The sequence below is a fragment of the Homo sapiens genome, chromosome 7 (assembly GCF_000001405.40).
Source record: "Homo sapiens chromosome 7, GRCh38.p14 Primary Assembly".
NCBI lineage: Eukaryota > Metazoa > Chordata > Mammalia > Primates > Hominidae > Homo > Homo sapiens.
In genome coordinates this window covers 1,837,783-1,855,009 of record NC_000007.14, presented here as the reverse complement: position 1 = coordinate 1,855,009, position 17,227 = coordinate 1,837,783, and the positions used below count along the sequence as shown (strand labels likewise).

Sequence of the window (17,227 nt, the reverse complement as noted above, 5' to 3'; positions counted from 1 at the left end):
GGCCAGGAGCTCTGCCAGCGGTGGGCGCGGGGCCTCCCCAGTGGACGAGAGGTGGAGCATGGAGCCACAGCGGCAGCTCTCAGGCCTCTGGGCCTCACGGGACTTGCCCCTCGGGGTTTGGCCTGCCTGGGGCCTGGCACCCTCCCTCTTGCCTTTCCCCCTTTTGAAATGGGAGCGTCCGTCCCCTCCTGTCCTGCCTTTGTCTCCCCCGTATGTGACGCCAGTGAGGTTGAGAGGAGACTTTGGAGTTGATGGTTGGTGAGACTGTTGGGGCTGCTGGGGTGGAGAAGGATGTGGGTTCTGTGGGGACAGGGGCAGGATGCTGGGGACCGAGGTTTGTGTCCCGCAGTTCCCACGTGGAAACCGAATCCCCACTGTGAGGGGCATGAGGAGGCGGGGTCTTCGGGAGGTGCTGAGGTGGTAGGGTGGGGCCCTCGTGAATGGGATTAACATCCTTATAGAGGGGACCCCAGAGTCCCCCCGCCCCTTCCCCCGTGTGACAGACAGTGAGAAAGCTCCATCACCAAACACCAAGTCTGCCTGTGCCTTACCCTGCCCTTGTGGCCTCCAGGCCTGTGAGAAGTGAACTCTGTTTACGAGCCACCTAGTCTGCAGCGGCCGAGTGGACCAATACAGGCTTCCACAGGGTAGGTTCCCCCACAGCGGGGGTTGGGGACGAGCTGCCGGGGCCCAGGACGTCCGCTCGCTGCTGGGGCTGGGGCAGTCTCAGCCACTCCCAGCCCCAGCGGGCTCAGTACCCAACACCGAGGCACCGGGGCCATGGTGGGTGCGGCCTGTCCTGGGTGCTCAGTGTTGGGGCTCAGAGAATGTAAAGAGCCTGGGGCGGGGGTGGAGGTGCCCCAGGGGCAGAGGCTGGGCAGCCCCGTGAGTGATGTGGCCTCCGCCACGCCTGGATGGGGTGGATAAATGTACCCGACGCCCGTGATCGAGCTGGTAATTACCCTTCACAATGAGTGATATTAATCGTGAAGCTCCCAGTGCACGGCATGAGAATGGCGCCGGGAGCTGGCGGCAGCAGGAGAAGCCATTTATTAGCCTGATAAATGACCAAAAGATGGCCTTTCTGGCTGGCTCCTGACAGGACTTTCTGATAACAGGGCCGAGAGTCCACCTGTCAGACGGCCAGGTGGGGCCTGCCCGGTCCTCCCCTGCTCGGCCACCCAGGCTGCTCGGAGTGAAATCGTAGGTTGGGAGGGGGTGCAGAGGCAGGGCCCCTTGCAGGCGAGTCCCAGCTGCCTCCTGTCATTGGGCGGGGATGGAAGGGTGGGACAGGAAGGAGGCAGTGTCCTTCTGAGCTCAGCCTGGGAGAGGCAGGGGGCCCCCGTGCAGAGGGAGGCGTGTGGGTGTGCAGGGCGGCGGGGACAGTGTTTCTGAGCTGGTGATCAGTCTGCTGTGGTCAGGCAGGCAGGGTGGGGGCTGGAGCGGGGTCAGGCATGGCAGTGGCAAGGAAGCATGGCATAAGGTCCTCTGTGCCCAGGAGGACACTGGTGCTAAGCGTCTGCTGTCACCTGCTTCTGTCTGTCACTGCCGTCTGATGCCTGACCGGGCTGAGCGTGTGTTTGTTGAATGAAGGCAGGGCTGCCGTGTGCGTCCTCCCTGCCAGGCCCCTCCACCTCCGCTCTTTCCAGAGGGACCGGGCTACCTGCTGTTGCTGTGCCACCCACAGGGGAGGCAGGTGTCAGCTCCACACGCGTGGGGCCTTCTCGCCAGGCCTGTCCCGACACAGAGGGCAGTCCCGTGAGGTGGCAAGTTCCCACAGTCAGCAGTGCCGCTGCTGTTAGAAGGTGGTGGTGGACTGAGATGACATCCGCAGTCCCTTCCGCATCAGGGCCCCCACCTCCTGTACATCCTTGGGGTCTCAGCCCAGATGCACTTCCTCGGGGCTCTCCCTGGCTCTCCCGGGCTCCAGTCTCCTGGTGCATGTCGTTATCAGCTCCCACTCCACACTGGGACAGGACCCTGAGCCTTGAGTCCTGCGGGTGCCTCGGCCGCCCTGCGCTGTGAGCTGGCATGTGCTCAGTGCTTGGTGCGTGCTAGAGGAGCACGTGAAGGCCCGGATAAATGATGCAGACATGGGCTCCAGGGACAGCGGCCCGTCCTCGGAGGCGCCCCTTCCAGGCTCAGCACGTGCGGCTCTCAGAGTCTCATTTGTTGGCTCTCCTGGCCTTAGAGGGCAGCCCGAGGGTCCCAGCAGGGCGTCTTGGCTGGGTGGGCTCAGGAGGCAGGGGAACAGCAAGTCCGGAGTCATTACAAGGCCTGTGCCGACACCGGGTGATTTAGCGGTATGATTACTTCCTAATGCAGTATCTCGCAAAGCTTTTTATTAGATTTCTCCCCTTTTCCTTCCAAAGTCTCTTTGGAAATAAACACCTGGGGCTGTTATACTTCATACCACTCAGTTTAATTAACTTTTAAATCACATAACGTCACCCGGACCTCTCAGATGGCGGCGGTCGGGCCAGGGTGGAAGCCTGGCTGCCCCAGCCTCTCCGCCCAGGGAGCGGGGCATTGCCCCATCTCAGCCTCAGGGATCCTGAGCCTGGACTCCCCCCAGTGCAAGGTCCATTGAGGGGGACCCTTGGAGGGGCAGTGGTAGCTCCTGGGGCTCTGAGTCTAAGGGTGGCAGAGACACCAGCCCCAAGCCAGGTCCTCCCAGTCCGGGAAACCCAGTGAGCTCCACAGCCTAGTGCTACGCTGCAGGTGTGGGGGCCTGAACCCAGCTGCCGTCATCCCTGAGAAACTGCCCAAACGGTGCCTCTCGCCAGGTCAGCAGGATCCTCGCCCAGTGCTGGGTCACGTCCATCCCAACCTGTGTCCCCACAGGAAGCACTTTCTTCCCTGGGGCTTCTCCCCGACCCGCTCTGCCCCAAGTCTGGGTCCTGCCCTGGGTCTCGGGCCTCAGGAGGGCCCCTCCCCAGGCCAACAGATTCCAGAACAATCTTGTGACATCTGCCCCCAACGTGGGCACCAGTGAAGGTTCCCAGCCCCTCTCGTTGCCGCTGACACTGTCCGCCCACCCGTGCCGGGCCCTGCCTCCCCGAGCTCTTCCCACCATTGGTCCCACCCATTGTTTCTGCCACTCCAGCTCCCGGGCAGCAGCCAGGCGAACCAGCTGTTGGCAGGCAGGCGACTCTAGCTCCCTGGGCAGCACCTAGGAGGCCTGGCCTTTGGCAGGCAGGCGTCACAGATCAGTTAGGCCCTTCTGCGCCTGCCTGGGATGCTGAACAGGTTTCGCGACACTGTAAGTGCCTGTTCCTGAGAAAGCAGAGGTCGCCGGCACTGAAGGCTGTGTCCCCAGCACCTTCCCCTGTGTGGACCTCCTGCCGTCTTCCTCGCCACGCCTTCACTAACTGTTCCATTCTAGTTTTCTTCTTCTTGGGACCGTTTTGGTTGGTGATTGGTGACTTTCCAGGAATCGTGCATTCCTCGAGTTTTCAGACTAGCCGTGCTGTCCCGGGGCCCCGAGCAGATTCCTCTGGCCCTGGTCACTGGGGTGACGCACAGTTCATCAGGGGCTTCCTGGGCACTGCTGGGGACGCCTCTCATCCACGAGGATGGCACGTTCGAGGTCTGAGCTGTCCCAGCACGGCCTCCCTGTCGGGGTTTCCCGTGACCTCGAGTCCCATCTCCAGGACGAACGTGCAGACACCCTCCCCCACCTTCTCCATGGGCTCAGCCATCAGCCCCCAACCCTGTGCCGGCCGAGGCCAAGCTCTTGCTGCCGGCTCTGGTCTGGGCGTGGGTCACCCCCACCTTCCACCCTGTGCCGGCCGAGGCCGGGCTCCTGCCGCCCGCTCTGGTCTGGGCATGGGTCACCCCACAGGGTTGCCGCCATCAGTCAGCAGTTGGGCTGGGAGGGCCACATGAGTGCCTATAGATTCTGGCACAGACGCTTGTGGCCTGTGGGCTTACTTCCTGCCCTCCCTGCCACCTTGTTGGCTCCAGCCGGGCTGCCACGGTGGACGCAGGGTCACAGAAGCTTAGGGCAACACATTTGTGGTCCTCGACCCACGGACGCGACGCCAGGCCCTTCTCGTGTCTCTTCCTGCTCTCTGATGCCCGGAAGCTGCTTCCTATGGGGGTCCCACACGGGGTCAGGCAGGTTTCGGTGTGCCCTCCCCACTCCCCATCCCAGGAGGGGAGGAGCTCCTAGTTCTGAGGCTGCTCTGTGCACGGTCTGGCCTGCAGTGAACATGTGTTTGCTGTTGTCGCAATCACTGCTGTCACCAGTGGCTGGGCAGGGCCAGTATGCAGGGGTGGATAGTGCGGTGCCTGATCACAGGGCTAGCCCTGTGCCCTGGGGTGCCTGTTCCCCTCTGCGAACTTGGGCAACCATGGCTTTGGGGGTCCCCGGACCTGGGTCCAGCCCCGTGCCTTCTCCGGCCCAGGCCGGCTCTGCCGAGTCACCTGTGCAGCTCCCCGGAGTCAAGCACAGGCTCGGGGCAGTGAGATCATCTGCCCAGGCCCTGACCCACCGTCTGGAGCCCTGCAGGAACTTGGGGTACCCCCACCTGGACCCACTAGAGGAAGCCTGGGCCCCACAGCCAGTGTAAAGCAGCAGCTTCTGTTCATGGTACCAGGGGGCTGAGCTGGGCCCAGGCAGCTGGGTGGCTCCAGAGGTGGCAGGGGGTGAGTTCCTAGGAGGCAGGGTGGGCGCCTCGTAAGATAGAACTCTTGTGGGAAAGGATGTCTAGCGATGGGAGCTGCCTGGAGGCGTGGGTCCAGAGGGGCCCTCGGGACCTGACTGGGCGCCTGTCGGTTCCGTCCTGTTGCCCCAGAAGGGGAGGCCTGCCCAGGGGTTCAGGACCGAACACCAGGTCCAGGGGAAGCCGCTGCCCCGGCCGCCGCTCACCCACAACCACTCAGATTAAGGCGAACGAGAGTGGTGAGAACAAACGCCTCACAGAGCTGTTCCGGAAATTAGATTTTTCCCCTTAAGGTCACTCACTCCACTGGAAAATTAACCAATATTTTCCTAATCAAAGCGGGGCTGTTTCTTCCTTGGAGGAAGGTGGCCGCCCTTCCAGCGCTTGTCATTCATCTTGGAGGCAACTGCTGCCGCGTGGGCTCTTGTTTTATTAAATAAACTCCGGTTTTTATGGCCGCCTCTCAGTGCCGCCCGCCCCCCGTCCAGGGAGAGTGGCCTCAGGTGTCGGGCACCGCGCCGTCCTGCTTCCGCTGCCGCTGCCACTGCGGGGTCACCTTCCCTCCACAGCCCCTCAGGGCCCTCCCAGAGCCGGCGTCTGCTGATCCAGCCTCCCCTGTACCCCAGGGGGCTCTTTACACCTGGGGTTCCACCTTTAGCCCAGGTGGGAGCAGGGAGCCGTCTTGAAGTCTCACCTAGGACGCCAGGACGCTGCCGCTTCCCGTTCTTGGGCCACGCCGAGCACGACTTCTTGGGGCCTGTCCAGCAGTGCAGGCTGAGGAGGGCGTGGACCCAGTCGGCCACCTCAGTGAGGTCCTGGCTGCCCCCTGCAGACAGCCCTGAGCACCCCCGCCTGCCTGCCACTGTCTCGACGGGGAGGGCCGACCATCAGGGGTCCAGGCAGCACTTCATAAAGCAAAGCTTCACCCGGCTAAGACGTGTGGGCTGCTTGGGGGCTCTGTGTCTGCAAAACAGTACCTGTGAAAATAAGGAACCGTAGGAGACGTGGGCTGGAAGGACGGCTGGTAAACATGGCCCCTCCTCACTTGGAGATTTGTGCTGCCAATAACGAGGACATGGATGAGGGGCCTCCCACAGAGCAGCGCTTCCCAAGTGCCGCTGAGTGAAGAAGCCCTCGACAGCCTCGCACAGCATCAGCTCCCTGACCCCGCATGTGCGTACGTGTGTGTGTGTGCATGTGTGTACGTGTGTGTGCATGTCTGTGTGTGCACGTGTATGTGTGTGTGCATGTGTCCGTGCATGTGCATTTGTGTGTGTGTGTGTGTGTGTGTGTGTACATGTACACCCGTGCTCACAAACAGGCTGGAGAACTACATGCCGTCGCCTCTGTGCCCCCGCTGGTGTGATTCTGAGTGACTGGGTGATGGGTGATGAGTGTTATTTTTATATTTCAAAATAGTGTGAGAAGGAGGCTGTCCTATTGAGGCACAGACCAGTGGGCAAGGACCTTGGTGGTGGGGGGCACACAATCCTCTGGGGGACCTGGGCTGCCCCTGTGGGGATGTGGCATCCCTTGGGATGCTGTGGGCAGCACAGTCACCTCCAGGGCCCCTGGCTTATCCTCAGCAACTCAGAATTAAGTGACATCTTCGTCCTTCTCTGGACCAGTTGTTTTCCAGAGCAGGTCAGACAGAGCTCAGCTTCCCCATCTGCCAGGATTCAGCGCTGGGCTCTCGGAACCAGGAGCGCAAATCGCTGGTGCTCGGGGTCCATGGTGCCCCTTGAGGGCTCACACAGCCTTCCCATGACCCTTGTCTTCTACTCCTGGTAGGGTCTTGAATCCCAGGAGATCTTGCTCTCCCATAAGAAAAGCAGCTGTGAAAGCACAGCCGGGCCCGGTGACTGGCCCAAGCCTCCGAGGAGGCGGCAAGCTTGGATGGAGTGTCCTATTCAGCATGAGGGCCCGGCATTTCCACCAGTATTCAAATGGAGCCGGAAACTTCCTGTTTCCATTGGCCTGAGACCCCGGGCTGTCCGTCTGCCCTGGCATGCACACAGCCCACCCACACTTCTGTCTACCCGAGTGGCCGATGGTCAGCCGCACACACCAGGAAGCCTTTGCTGGGGCCGGTGGTGGTGATGCTTCCAGCACGGGCTGCTTGCTTGTTGGCATCTGTGAGTCCTGACCCTTCCTGGGGCTGCAGCAGGCGTGAGTGTTGTTGAGGGAGGGAGAGTGGCCTGCGGACCCAGCCCTGAGAGCGACACTAGGTCTGTGTGCCCCCAGGAGCTCCTCCATCATCGTCTCTGCACACCCCAGCCCCGTCCCACCACATCCCACGCTGGGACTCCCAGCCGCTTCTCTGTCATGAGAGTCCACAGTTCATTTGAAAACCAGTGTGGTCAGGGGCTGAGACTGGCTTGCATCTGGGTGGCCTGTTAGCCCTGGAGAAACCGGCTGTGTAGGTGAGCAGCTGCGTGGGTGAGAGTGGGAGCATTGCAGGTCACAGGGACCCTCTGTCCCCTCAGCACGTGGGAGCCTCACTTGACACAGCAAGTGGAGGCCTGGAGCCGGCCAAGGGGTGCTAGGCAGGCCGATTCGTTCATTCTTGTACACAGCACGCAGCAAGTGTGTTCCGTGTCCCGGGCCCAGGGACGCCGAAGCGATGGGAACCCAGGCCTGCCCAGAGCTGAGGTCTCCCCAGTGTATGCGTCCAGGCTTTGGGAGATGGGCCGAGGGCAGCTGCTGGAGGGGGCGAGGCCTGCCCAGGGCTGAGATCTCCATGCTGTGTGCATCCCGGTTTCAGAACATGGGCCGAAGGCAGCTGCTGGACAGTGCCAGGACTGGTCTGGTCTCTCCCATGGAACCTTCCAGCTGAGCTTCCCCTGCAGTGGCCGCCCAGTGGGGGCTGGGTTGTGTGGGACAGAGGACAGCTAAAGGGTAGAGGTCTCCACTGTCTCCTGGTAGATACATCGGGCCCCCCACATCTTCCCAAGTCACGTAACGCTGCACACCCTGGTCCGCCCCGTGGTACCTCCGCGAGCACCGCCTGCCATGCCTGGTTTGCTGCTCTGTAATCCAGCGGCTCCTGCAGTCCTGGCACGTTCGGTTGTGTCCCGAAAGAAAACCAGTGCTTCCTAAACAGAAAAGGACAAGCGTCAGTTGGAAAAGATGTGTGGCCTTCAAACAAACACCCTGGACCAGGGAGGAACTCCTTGTTCCCAGGACAGACGGGAAAGTCAGAGGCCTTTAAAACATCATTTCCAAAATGAAATCACAGAAAGATACCTGATGGATGTGAGCAGATTATCTGTATTCCATTCTTGGGGCCAAGGAGCAAATCAGCTGCAGAACATGTTTTGAAATGTCTCTTTGTAATGAATGTGGTCAATGAAAACGCGGAGCCATCAGCAGGAGGCGACCGTCCCACCGCAAGATGAAGAACCTCCCGTGATACCATTCAAGCCCCACGAGCTGGCAGAGAGCAAACAGCAGCTTCATACAGGCTGCGGGTGCTGATGAAATGGAAAAGGCACTTCACACATCTTGCACACGCAAATTGCATCAGGCGGAGTATTCTTTGCAAAGAATGAAGCACTTCCTCCTCCTTGGCTCCTATGAGGGGGAGCGGTGGGGGGGCGTCTGGAGCAGGGACGGGCCGGCCTCAGGCTTCTCATCCCCTCGCTCTGGGAACAACAGAAATGCAAACACAGCATGTCTTCCTGAGCCACGGGCACGGGGCCGGGCACTCGGTCACCCTTTCCTTCCGCCCATTCCTTGTGGGGGCAGCTCCTGGTCCCAGTGACCTCCCAGGGCCGGGCAGTAACCTTCGTGGCTGGACACACTTGGCCCAAGCATCCCCTGGTATCTGTAGTCTCCGGTTCCGGAGGGCACCTCGGGCACGAGTGACCCTTGGCATCTCACGGGGTCTCTTGGATGCTGGCTCCTGTGGTGGCTGTGGTGTCATCCATCCTGCTGGTGTTTATAAACCTCCTGAACCCTCTATGGAAACACTGTCCGTGAGGGCTGACCCCCTTTATGTCCCGTGTCCTGGCTGGAACCTCAAGTGTCTTTGCAGAGCTGGAGGAAAGGGCAGTGTTCCAGGCCCAGGAGCTGTCAGCCATGGACGTCCAGGACTGCAGCGCCGGGGGCGGCCTGTGCTGCTGACCAGCCCCTGGCCCTGCGGGAAGGGCAGCAGGGGGAGACTGGCCCTGGAAGGTTCCCCACTGTGGTCTGGGGCCGGATGGGGCTGGTCCCTTCTTCAGTTCTGGACGCTGGTGCTTTAGGGAAATGCCTGGGGTTTCAGCTACAGCCTGAGACTGCCTGTGTGGCTGTCCCTTCCCCAGTGACGCTGAACGCATGTGCACATCTCCCTGGTCACGGGCACCATCCTGGCACCAACTGAGTCTCTTGGTCTGTTTCTGAGCACCTCCCCTCCCTTGGGGAGCGTGGAGAGAAGAGCCTGACACAGCTTTGTCCCCGAGGCAGCAGGAGGCCTTTCCTGGGGCTTGGAGGGATCTCTGCCTCCCCAGAAACAGCTCCTGGCTCTGAATGCCCAAGAGCCTGAGGGCAGAGAGGACGCCAGAGGTGGTGTGGAGCGTGTCCATCTCCTAAACAGCGCGCTCCTCCCCGTGAGCCGGAACCCGACGCGTGTCTGCGTGGAGCGTGTCCATCTCCTAAACAGCGCTCTTCCCCGTGAACCAGAGCGGGACGCGTGTCTGCGTGGAGCACGTCCGTCTCCTAAACAGCGCTCTTCCCCGTGAACCAGAGCCGGACGCATGTCTGCGTGGAGCACGTCCGTCTCCTAAACAGCGCTCTTCCCCGTGAACCAGAGCCGGACGCGTGTCTGCGTGGAGCACGTCCATCTCCTAAACAGAGCTCTTCCCCATGAATCAGAGCCCGACGCGTCTCTGCGTGGAGCACGTCCATCTCCTAAACAGCGCTCTTCCCCGTGAACCAGAGTCCGACGCGTGTCTGCTTGTTTCCGAGCTGCTGTTTGTGGTTTGAGTCCCCATGCAGGGCAGCGGAGGGAGGTGGCAAGGGCTGTAACACACCAAGGTCAGAGCCGCCGGCCTCTCCCACATTGACATTCTGTGCACTGCCTGTGTGTGATCAAGTCTCCCTCCGGAGCGCTGGGCCCTGCGTCAGCCTCAGGAAAGCTACAGACAAGATAGGAATCATGCGTCTCCCCACCCTGAGCCCAGCAGGCTGTGCCAGGTGTCAAGTAGCTGGTCAGCGTATCAGCCACACAGCATTGCTAGGAGGGAAGAGGAGACCCCTTCGCTCTGCTCTCCCCGCTGCAGTCAGGGCCTGCCTCCCGCGCCCGCCAGGTGGGGCCTTGGCTGCACAGACCCTGTGCCCACTGTGAGTCCAGGAGCCTCGGGCTCAGGCCCCTCCTCCCCGCACCCCTGTCCTCCTTCTGATGGCGGGACAGTGACCCTGGCTGTGCCCACTCACTGACCAGCAGCATACTGTCTCCGTCCTGGCAGCAGCTGTGCGAGGCAGGCTTTCCTGTCCCACTCGCAGAGGAGGACACGCTCAGGTGCTGGAGTGGCTTGCACGGTACGGCCACAGCCCTGCTGACTGTACCCACGCGCCCCTCCACCCCTGCAGGAGCATCGAAGGATCGGATGCAACCAGACGGGTCCCCTCTGTCAGTGCCCGGCCTGTGCCAAGCCACAGCAGGATGTCCTGGGGGAAGCCTGGAGAAAGGAGTGCTGGGCCCTGGACTCCCCCCAGCTTTGGGGGGATGGTCACCAAGGGGAGGTGCTGGGCACGTGGCAGCCTCGGGGAGCACCTTCCTGGGCCAGCTGTAGGCCCGTCCCAAGCTGCGTCCCCTGCCTGCGCCTCTCCCTGGGCCGCCTCTGCCCCCTGCAGGGCTCCGTGTCAAGCTCCTTCAGCGGGGTGGGACCTCGAATGCCGTCCATGTCCCACACCTCGCGTGTCAGGGTCTGCAGTGGAGCACCCAACCGGCGTCTCTCCCCAGGTCTCCCCCCAGCCTGGAGGTGGCCCCTTGTGCCCCTGGGCCCCTACCTGTCCAGCAGCAGCAGCTGGGGCTCCCTGTCCACTGGGAGTGCTTCCTCAAGCATGAGGTTTTGGCAGGGGGGCCTGTGGGACCACCACACTTCTCCCCAAGGGCACACCGGGGATGGCAGAGGGTCGTGGGAAAGTGTTGACCCTCGTCAGGTCCCCGGGGAGCCCCTGGCAGGCCGTTCTGTGGCTGGATGTGAGTTAAGCGGTTCAGCCGTGTGTGAGGCTCCGTGACACCAGCCAGGACACACCTGGAGTTGTGGGGATTTTTAGTTGCCTTCTGGTGGTAGTGAAACCGTGCAGCCTTGCACAAGTGTTCCTGCATAGGCTCCACTTGCTGCCCTTCCCGGCCCCACTCACATCCTGAGTGTGTGCTCAGGCCCCTCAGAAGAAACCAAACTTCTGAGTGTCCCCTCCCCGCCCCTAGCCATGGAGTGGCCGTGGCTGAAGTGGAAGAGATTCAGAGGCTGACAGCCGAGGGGAGGTTTGAACCTCACTAAAATCATTCGGAGCTCACGCTCGTTTCAGCATTGCCCACGCTGTCTGGGTAGGAGGTGAATTCGCCTCCACGTGGCCTGCCGTGGGGCTTCTTCTTGCAGCGGGCTCTCCTGGGTGCTCCAGGAAGACGGAGCTGGGACAAAGTGTGCCCACTCCAGAAGTGAGTCTTCAGCTCAGGTCTCCTCCCGGCCTTGGTTTCTGACTCCTTCGTGTTAGGAAGGAGGCCCCCAGGAGGAAGCACGCACTTTGGCAATGAGACGTTTTAATTGCATCTTAAAATAGCATTGCAGTAAAGAACACTAAACCGTGACTAACCAATTGCACTTCAGGAGGCCCTCAGCACAGTCAGACACGGGGAAGCGCGGAAAAGCTGCCCACTTGTGGACGCCCATCAAGCCCCCTCAGGAGGGGCTGGATGACAGAGGAGGTCTACACCGCACCTGGGCCCCTTCCCCAGGTTCAGCCTTCATTGCGGCCTCCCTGGCCGTGAGGGACGTCTGCGCAGGAGCTCCCCGGGGCCAGCTTTGCCTGAATGTGGAAGATGGAGGGAAGAGTGTTACCGTTTAGTTGATTTACTGCCGAAGAACCTGTAAGGCCCAGGAAGACAGAGAAAGACGCCAGAAAGAGCATCATTCTGCAGGGTTCAAGGTGAACCTGGCTCGCTTTCAGAGGAGTAGGGCAACGAGGGCACCCAGACCCTAATTACACAGGATCCCGGCACTGTGCCATCGGGGCCTCATGTGTGGTCTTGGTGGAGAATGACCAGGGCTGCTCTCTAGCCCCCGTCCTCCAGATGGTCCCCAGAGGGACTGACACACTCAAGGAATGTGCTACTGGGAAGCCAGGATGCCATTTCAGTACCAGCAGCCCCACTGTGGGCCTCACTTGAAGGCTGTGCTGGAGCCCGGCCTCGGACTCACCCCAGCCAGCCCCTGAGCTCCAGGCAGTGTACCCTCCCCATCCGGGAACCAGCCGCAAGGCAGCCCGTGTGCTGAGCCACAGGGAGGGCCAGCTGGGCGAGGGGCTGACATGTGGGACGCAGCTGTGCAGCACTCAGAGGCCCTGCCCACCCTCCCCTCCAGGACACAGCCTGACCGTGCCCTGGGCCTCGGCTGCCTTGCAGGGGCCCAGGTGAGGAGTGGGAGGTGGAGGCCTCTGCAGCTGCAGGCAGTAGCTACTCAGTAAATGATGGGCCCAGCGATGGACGAAGGACGAAGGCCTCCCTCGGGGACCTGAAGAAGCATAGCTGTCTGTCCCTCGCCGGGGCTCAGGTGGCTGCAGTTACTCAGCTCGCCTGGGACAGGCCTGGGGGGCCAGTGAGCACGCGGCATTGTGGCAGCTCAGGCAGGCATGCGCCGGAAGGGATTCTGGCGGCCTGTGGACTGGGAGAACCTTTCCAGCTGCCAAGAGTTGCCCTTTGGATCCTAAGTGCAGGGCCAAGCCCGGCTGTGACGGCTGAGGCCGGGCTCCTGGAGGCAAGGCCACCTCAGGCCTCCAGGGCCGGAGCCGCAGGGAGCTGCTGGGTTTCCACAGGGCCACGGGGGCTGCGGCCACACGGAGCGGGAGCACAGGTGGGAAGGGTGTCTGTGAAAAGTGAAATCTGTCGCCGCTTCCTCTGGCTTAATTACCGGCATGGTAGTTGCAGAGTTGAAATGCAGCTTTAAAAGCCTTTGTGAGTAGTTAGTGTCAAACACACAAGATCTACAAAGCCATAAACTCACAGCTTGGTGATATTACCAAGTACTAATTAAGAAAAAAAAAGAAAATTCCCTTTCATGATCAAATTTTCAGCCCTGCCAAAGACGAAAAACAAGGCAATTTGCAGCGGATGGTGACGCCGGAGGGTAAGTGGCGTCCACAGGAAGATGGCGGCCGAGCGCGGCGAGCAGGCAGGGTCTGGCTGAGGGCTGGGGTGGTGACGGCGTGATTGTGCCTGGCTACCGGGTTCTCAGCCAGGGAGCACCTCATTCCCAGCAGAGATGGAATCCCAGCTCAGGAAGGGGAGACTCATGCGAGGGCAGAAGCGAGGCACCCGCCCAGAAGGATTGGGGGTCTCCCCATTTCACAGGTGGGGACACTGAGGCTGAGCTCACAGCCAGGACGGGGACAGCAGAGTGACGGCCGAGACCATCTGCCCCGCGAGGGAAGCAGCGCCCACCTTCCTTGGTGGTCCGGGAAGGCCGGACTGGCCCCTTGGGTCCCCACCGGCCTCAGCCACTGTGGGCTCGTCCAGCTTCAGGCAGGCGCCCGGCCACTCACCTGGGAGGCTCTGAGAACGACAGCTTCTGTCTCGTGAGTGACGTGGTGCCCGCTTTCATCCTGGGGCCCACAGCTGCCAGGAGAGGCCAGGCCGAGGTCAGGAGGCTCAGCAGCCGGTTCCGTGACTTCCTCTTTGCTGAGGAGGTCAGGACAGAAGCTTCTAGATGACAGGCCGCTCAACTTGGTATAAAACAGCAAATTTCTGTGCCTGTGCTGTCGGGCTGTGAATGACTTCTCGTCTGTTTCATGAGATGCAGCTTCAGCCCAGGGAGGCATCAGATGCAGCCGGGCGAGACGCGGAGCCAAGAGCTGTCCTCGCCCCCCATGTGAGTGACTGGAGAGACGAAATTCTCAAAGTCTTGTCACTTACGGGGATATTTTTAACCCAGGACCAGGGAAGCACAGCTCTCATTGGTGGCCGTGTGCTCTGGCGCTTGGGCAGTGGGCAGCAGCCAGGTTATCGGGACGTGCTCAGGCCCAACAGGACCCCCAGAGCCGCACCTGCCCCCCACAGAGTAGAGCCGGCCCGGGAGCGGCCTTGGTCACATCTAATCCCACCAGCCGCCGGCAGTGGAGAGCTGTGCCTGGCCCAGAGATTTGGGCATCACATCCAGGCTGCAAACGCACGGGGACCACCTGGCCCCGCCAGGGTTTGCTCTATCCTGGCTTGGCCTGCGTGGCCTCTCGCCGTCTGCACGGTCCACTCACCCGAGTCAGGGCTGGGGCATGCAGGGAGTGTGCAGTGACATTGGGCAGAGGGAGGCTGCTCAGGTCCAAGTAGGCAGAGAAACCGCATGCCCAGGCCGCTAAAACCTTGAACTGCAGGAGCCCTGAACTGCTGTTGCTGTTTTATTGTTTTGTTTTGTTGTCAGATGGAGTCTCATTCTGTTGCCCAGGCTGGAGTGCAGTGGCGCGATCTTGGCTCACTGCAACCTCTGCCTCCCGGGCTCAAGCGATTCTCCTGCCTCAGCCTCCCGAGTAGCTGGGATTACAGGCGCCCGCCACCATGCCTGGCTTTTTTTGTATTTTTAGTAGAGACGGGGTTTTGCCATGTTGGCCAGGCTGGTCTGGAACTCCTGAGCTCAGGTGATCCATCTGCCTTGGCCTCCCAAAGTGCTGGGATTACAGGTGTGAGCCACCACGCCTGGCTTGTTTTACTGTTTATGACGCGGCTCTGCTGCTGCTAGGACAGATACTTGTACAGCCCGATTCAAAGACTGTGCAGAGGCGTCTCCCAGATACCCCGGGGCGCACTGCAGTCAAGGAAGGCTGCCTGGAGGAGGTGGCCTGGAGCTGGGGCTCACGGGTGAATTAGAGTTTGTCTGGCTGGGTTGGGGAGATGTTTCTGGCCTCAGGATCTCACTTGCTCACGCTCACCGGCTCCAGGGCATCCAGCGTGCAGGGAGAGCAGAGGGGTAGGCCTCGGGCTCCAGGCCAAAGTTGGGGAAAGAGAGTGTCAGACCTGGGCTTGGGGGATGACTCTGATGTCGTCCTCATGGGGGATGGTTGAGGAAAGGGTGGGGTGTGGCTCACTCGTCTGGCCCTCGCCCATGTGGAATGCCCGCCGTGCTGGGCCCCGCTGCAGGTGCTGGATGCGCAGCAGTAATGCGGGGGTCCTGCTCCGCCTGGGCACGTCTTCCAGCAGGGATTGGGGGGCCGATGGCCAGGCAGGGTCTGTGCTCCATGCCTAGGTGGTTATGGGGGGAGGCGGGGAGCCTGGGCCCTGGCCGTGGGTGGACCTGTGGCTTGCTGACCTGGTGCCCAGCTGCCCCACCTCCCAAGCTGTGAGAAGCCAGGACCAGCCCCATCCTCCATCCAGATGGTCTCTGACATTGCCCTGGGAGCCGGGGGGAGGCGGGGGGGATGTTCTAACTGAAGGGCCTGGGCAGCCTAGAGCCCTTCTGTATCTTCTGGCCAATGGTTTTATCTGGTCCACTGCCTCCCAAGCCTGCACATCCCATCTCGCGCGTTTAAACTGTTAGAAAGTTACTCCTTTGACTAAGCCGGAAATGCTCTCTATGGCCCTGTGGATCTGCGTCCAGTTCTCCACGACATTCTGTTTTTGGAGCCTTTGTGAAGAGGCTGGGGGTTTGTCAGCCCCACTCGGAAGCGAACAGGCTGGTTCCCCGCCCCAGGCCCAGCTTGTCCTGCGGGCAGCTGGCCTGAGAGCCAAGCACTCCCCAGGCCATGGCACCGGGTGGGCAGGATGCTTTCCTGCCAGGCAGGGGGCAGGACGCTTTCCTGCCAGGCAGGGGGCAGGACGCTTTCCTGCCAGGCAGGAGGCAGAGCCCTCCCTGGGACCCCGAGTGTCTGTCCTGGGTGGGGACTAGACGGTGACCACCACCTCGACCCCGGGCAAGCCCACCTAGCCCCGCCCTCCCACCAAGCCCTGCTCCACCTACACGAAGCTGCGGCCAGCCCCTTTTGCCCCCAACCTAAATGACTGAGGAGTCTGTTAGGGAGGGCCTCCCTGTTGCTCTAAAGAGCAGGAACAGGACATCCCTGCCCCAGGGCACGGAGGCAGCTGGCCATCTGCGAGTGGGACCCGCCGCGGTTGGCCAAGCTCAGGCCATATGAGCTGGGACTGGCAGGCAGTTCCTGGCTGCCTCAAATCTGGGGTCCAGACTCTCTGCTGACCTCCCAGAGCCCGGCGTGTCTTTGCACACTCTGTCCTTGTCCCCAGCCTCCTCCCCGCCCCAGGGTGTGCCTGGAACCTTAGGTAGTCTTACCTGTCAGTCATACCTTCTTCTCGGCCAGGGACTGTGGATGGCAGGACGTTCACCCCGTGGTCAGTGGCTGGGCCTTTCTCATGAAGCAGCTTGATTGAGATGTCATCTACAGAGCGTGCAGCCATCATCACAGTCTATCTTGGAATGAATGCCTTTATCACCCTGGAAGGAAACGTGCCCCATAGCCATCCTCTCCCAGTCCCAGCCGTCGGCAGCCGCTGTCTGTGTTGTCTCTAGACTCCGCTACCTGCAGTGTTGCAGGGAGATGGGCTCAGCGGCGAGTGGTCTCTGGCATCTGGCATCTTTCGCTGAGCGTAAGGTTTTCACGGTTCGCTCACATTGGACCACGTGCTGACGCTCCATTTGTTACTGATGAATCATACGGTCTAGTGTGTGGATAGACCATGGTTGTTTATCCGTTCATCCGTTGATAGAACATTTGAATTGCTTCCGTTTGGGGCTATTACACACAGTGCTGCTGTGAACATTCGTGTACAAGCTTGTGTGTGGAAATGCATTTTTGTTTCTCTTGGGTGTACACCCATAAGCGGAAGTGCCAGGGTCACATGGTAATTTAACTTTGAGCTTTGTAAGGAGCTGCCTGTTCTCCCAGCTTCTCCCCGTCCTCCCCAGCACGCGCCACTGTCTGCTTTTATGATGCTTTTCCATCCCAGGGGCTGCGGGTGCCGCTGGGTTAGAGGGTCCGTGAACCTCCTGAGATTCAAATGCAAAATGTGAAGTGGGTGTTGGCGTGGGTTTCGGGTAGAGGGACTGCAGCCCCTGCACGGGGTTAGGAATATGTTTCCCAGTCCAGGCAGAGCTACGCGGGAATCACCTCTAGACACCCAAGAGGGAGCAGTTTTGTCTGGAGAAGCAGCACGCTGCCGTGTTTCACCAGGCTGGCCTGTGACAGCTGGACCTGCCCCCGATGCCACCACCTCCTCCTGCCAGGGCTTCCCTGTTTGCTGAGTCTGCGTTATTGATGAGCTACCATCTGTATACACGCACCCGTGAGGCCATCAAGGCAAGACCCTTCGCCCCCAGATCCCAGGCCCTGTGCAGCCTGCCTTGCCCCTCCCACTGCAA

At 61.1% G+C, this 17,227-nt stretch overlaps 1 protein-coding gene, 1 long non-coding RNA gene and 1 other non-coding gene across 8 annotated transcripts in view, besides 2 other annotated features; 2 read left to right on the top strand and 1 right to left on the bottom strand.

The window, feature by feature from the left end:
- Window positions 1–17,227, top strand: part of MAD1L1 (mitotic arrest deficient 1 like 1) — a 417,151-nt gene that overhangs the window by 377,936 nt on the left and 21,988 nt on the right. The window lies entirely within an intron of this gene.
- Window positions 6,488–7,197: an enhancer, noted in NCBI's record as "H3K4me1 hESC enhancer chr7:1887449-1888158 (GRCh37/hg19 assembly coordinates)". NCBI's record gives its function as "activates a minimal SCP1, AML or CMV promoter by ChIP-STARR-seq in primed H9 embryonic stem cells {active_cell/tissue: H9 hESC(primed)}" and the evidence as "EXISTENCE:reporter gene assay evidence [ECO:0000049][PMID:30033119]".
- On the bottom strand, window positions 7,228–16,343 carry LOC100127955 (uncharacterized). Its single transcript, XR_108730.5, has 2 exons — window positions 16,142–16,343; window positions 7,228–7,762 (listed from the first exon to the last, which is right to left on the bottom strand). It is a non-coding gene; the product is annotated as an uncharacterized LOC100127955 (long non-coding RNA).
- On the top strand, window positions 10,757–10,830 carry MIR4655 (microRNA 4655). The gene has a single exon (NR_039799.1). It is a non-coding gene; the product is annotated as a microRNA 4655 (primary transcript).
- Window positions 15,464–16,369: an enhancer, noted in NCBI's record as "H3K4me1 hESC enhancer chr7:1878277-1879182 (GRCh37/hg19 assembly coordinates)". NCBI's record gives its function as "activates a minimal SCP1, AML or CMV promoter by ChIP-STARR-seq in naive H9 embryonic stem cells {active_cell/tissue: H9 hESC(naive)}" and the evidence as "EXISTENCE:reporter gene assay evidence [ECO:0000049][PMID:30033119]".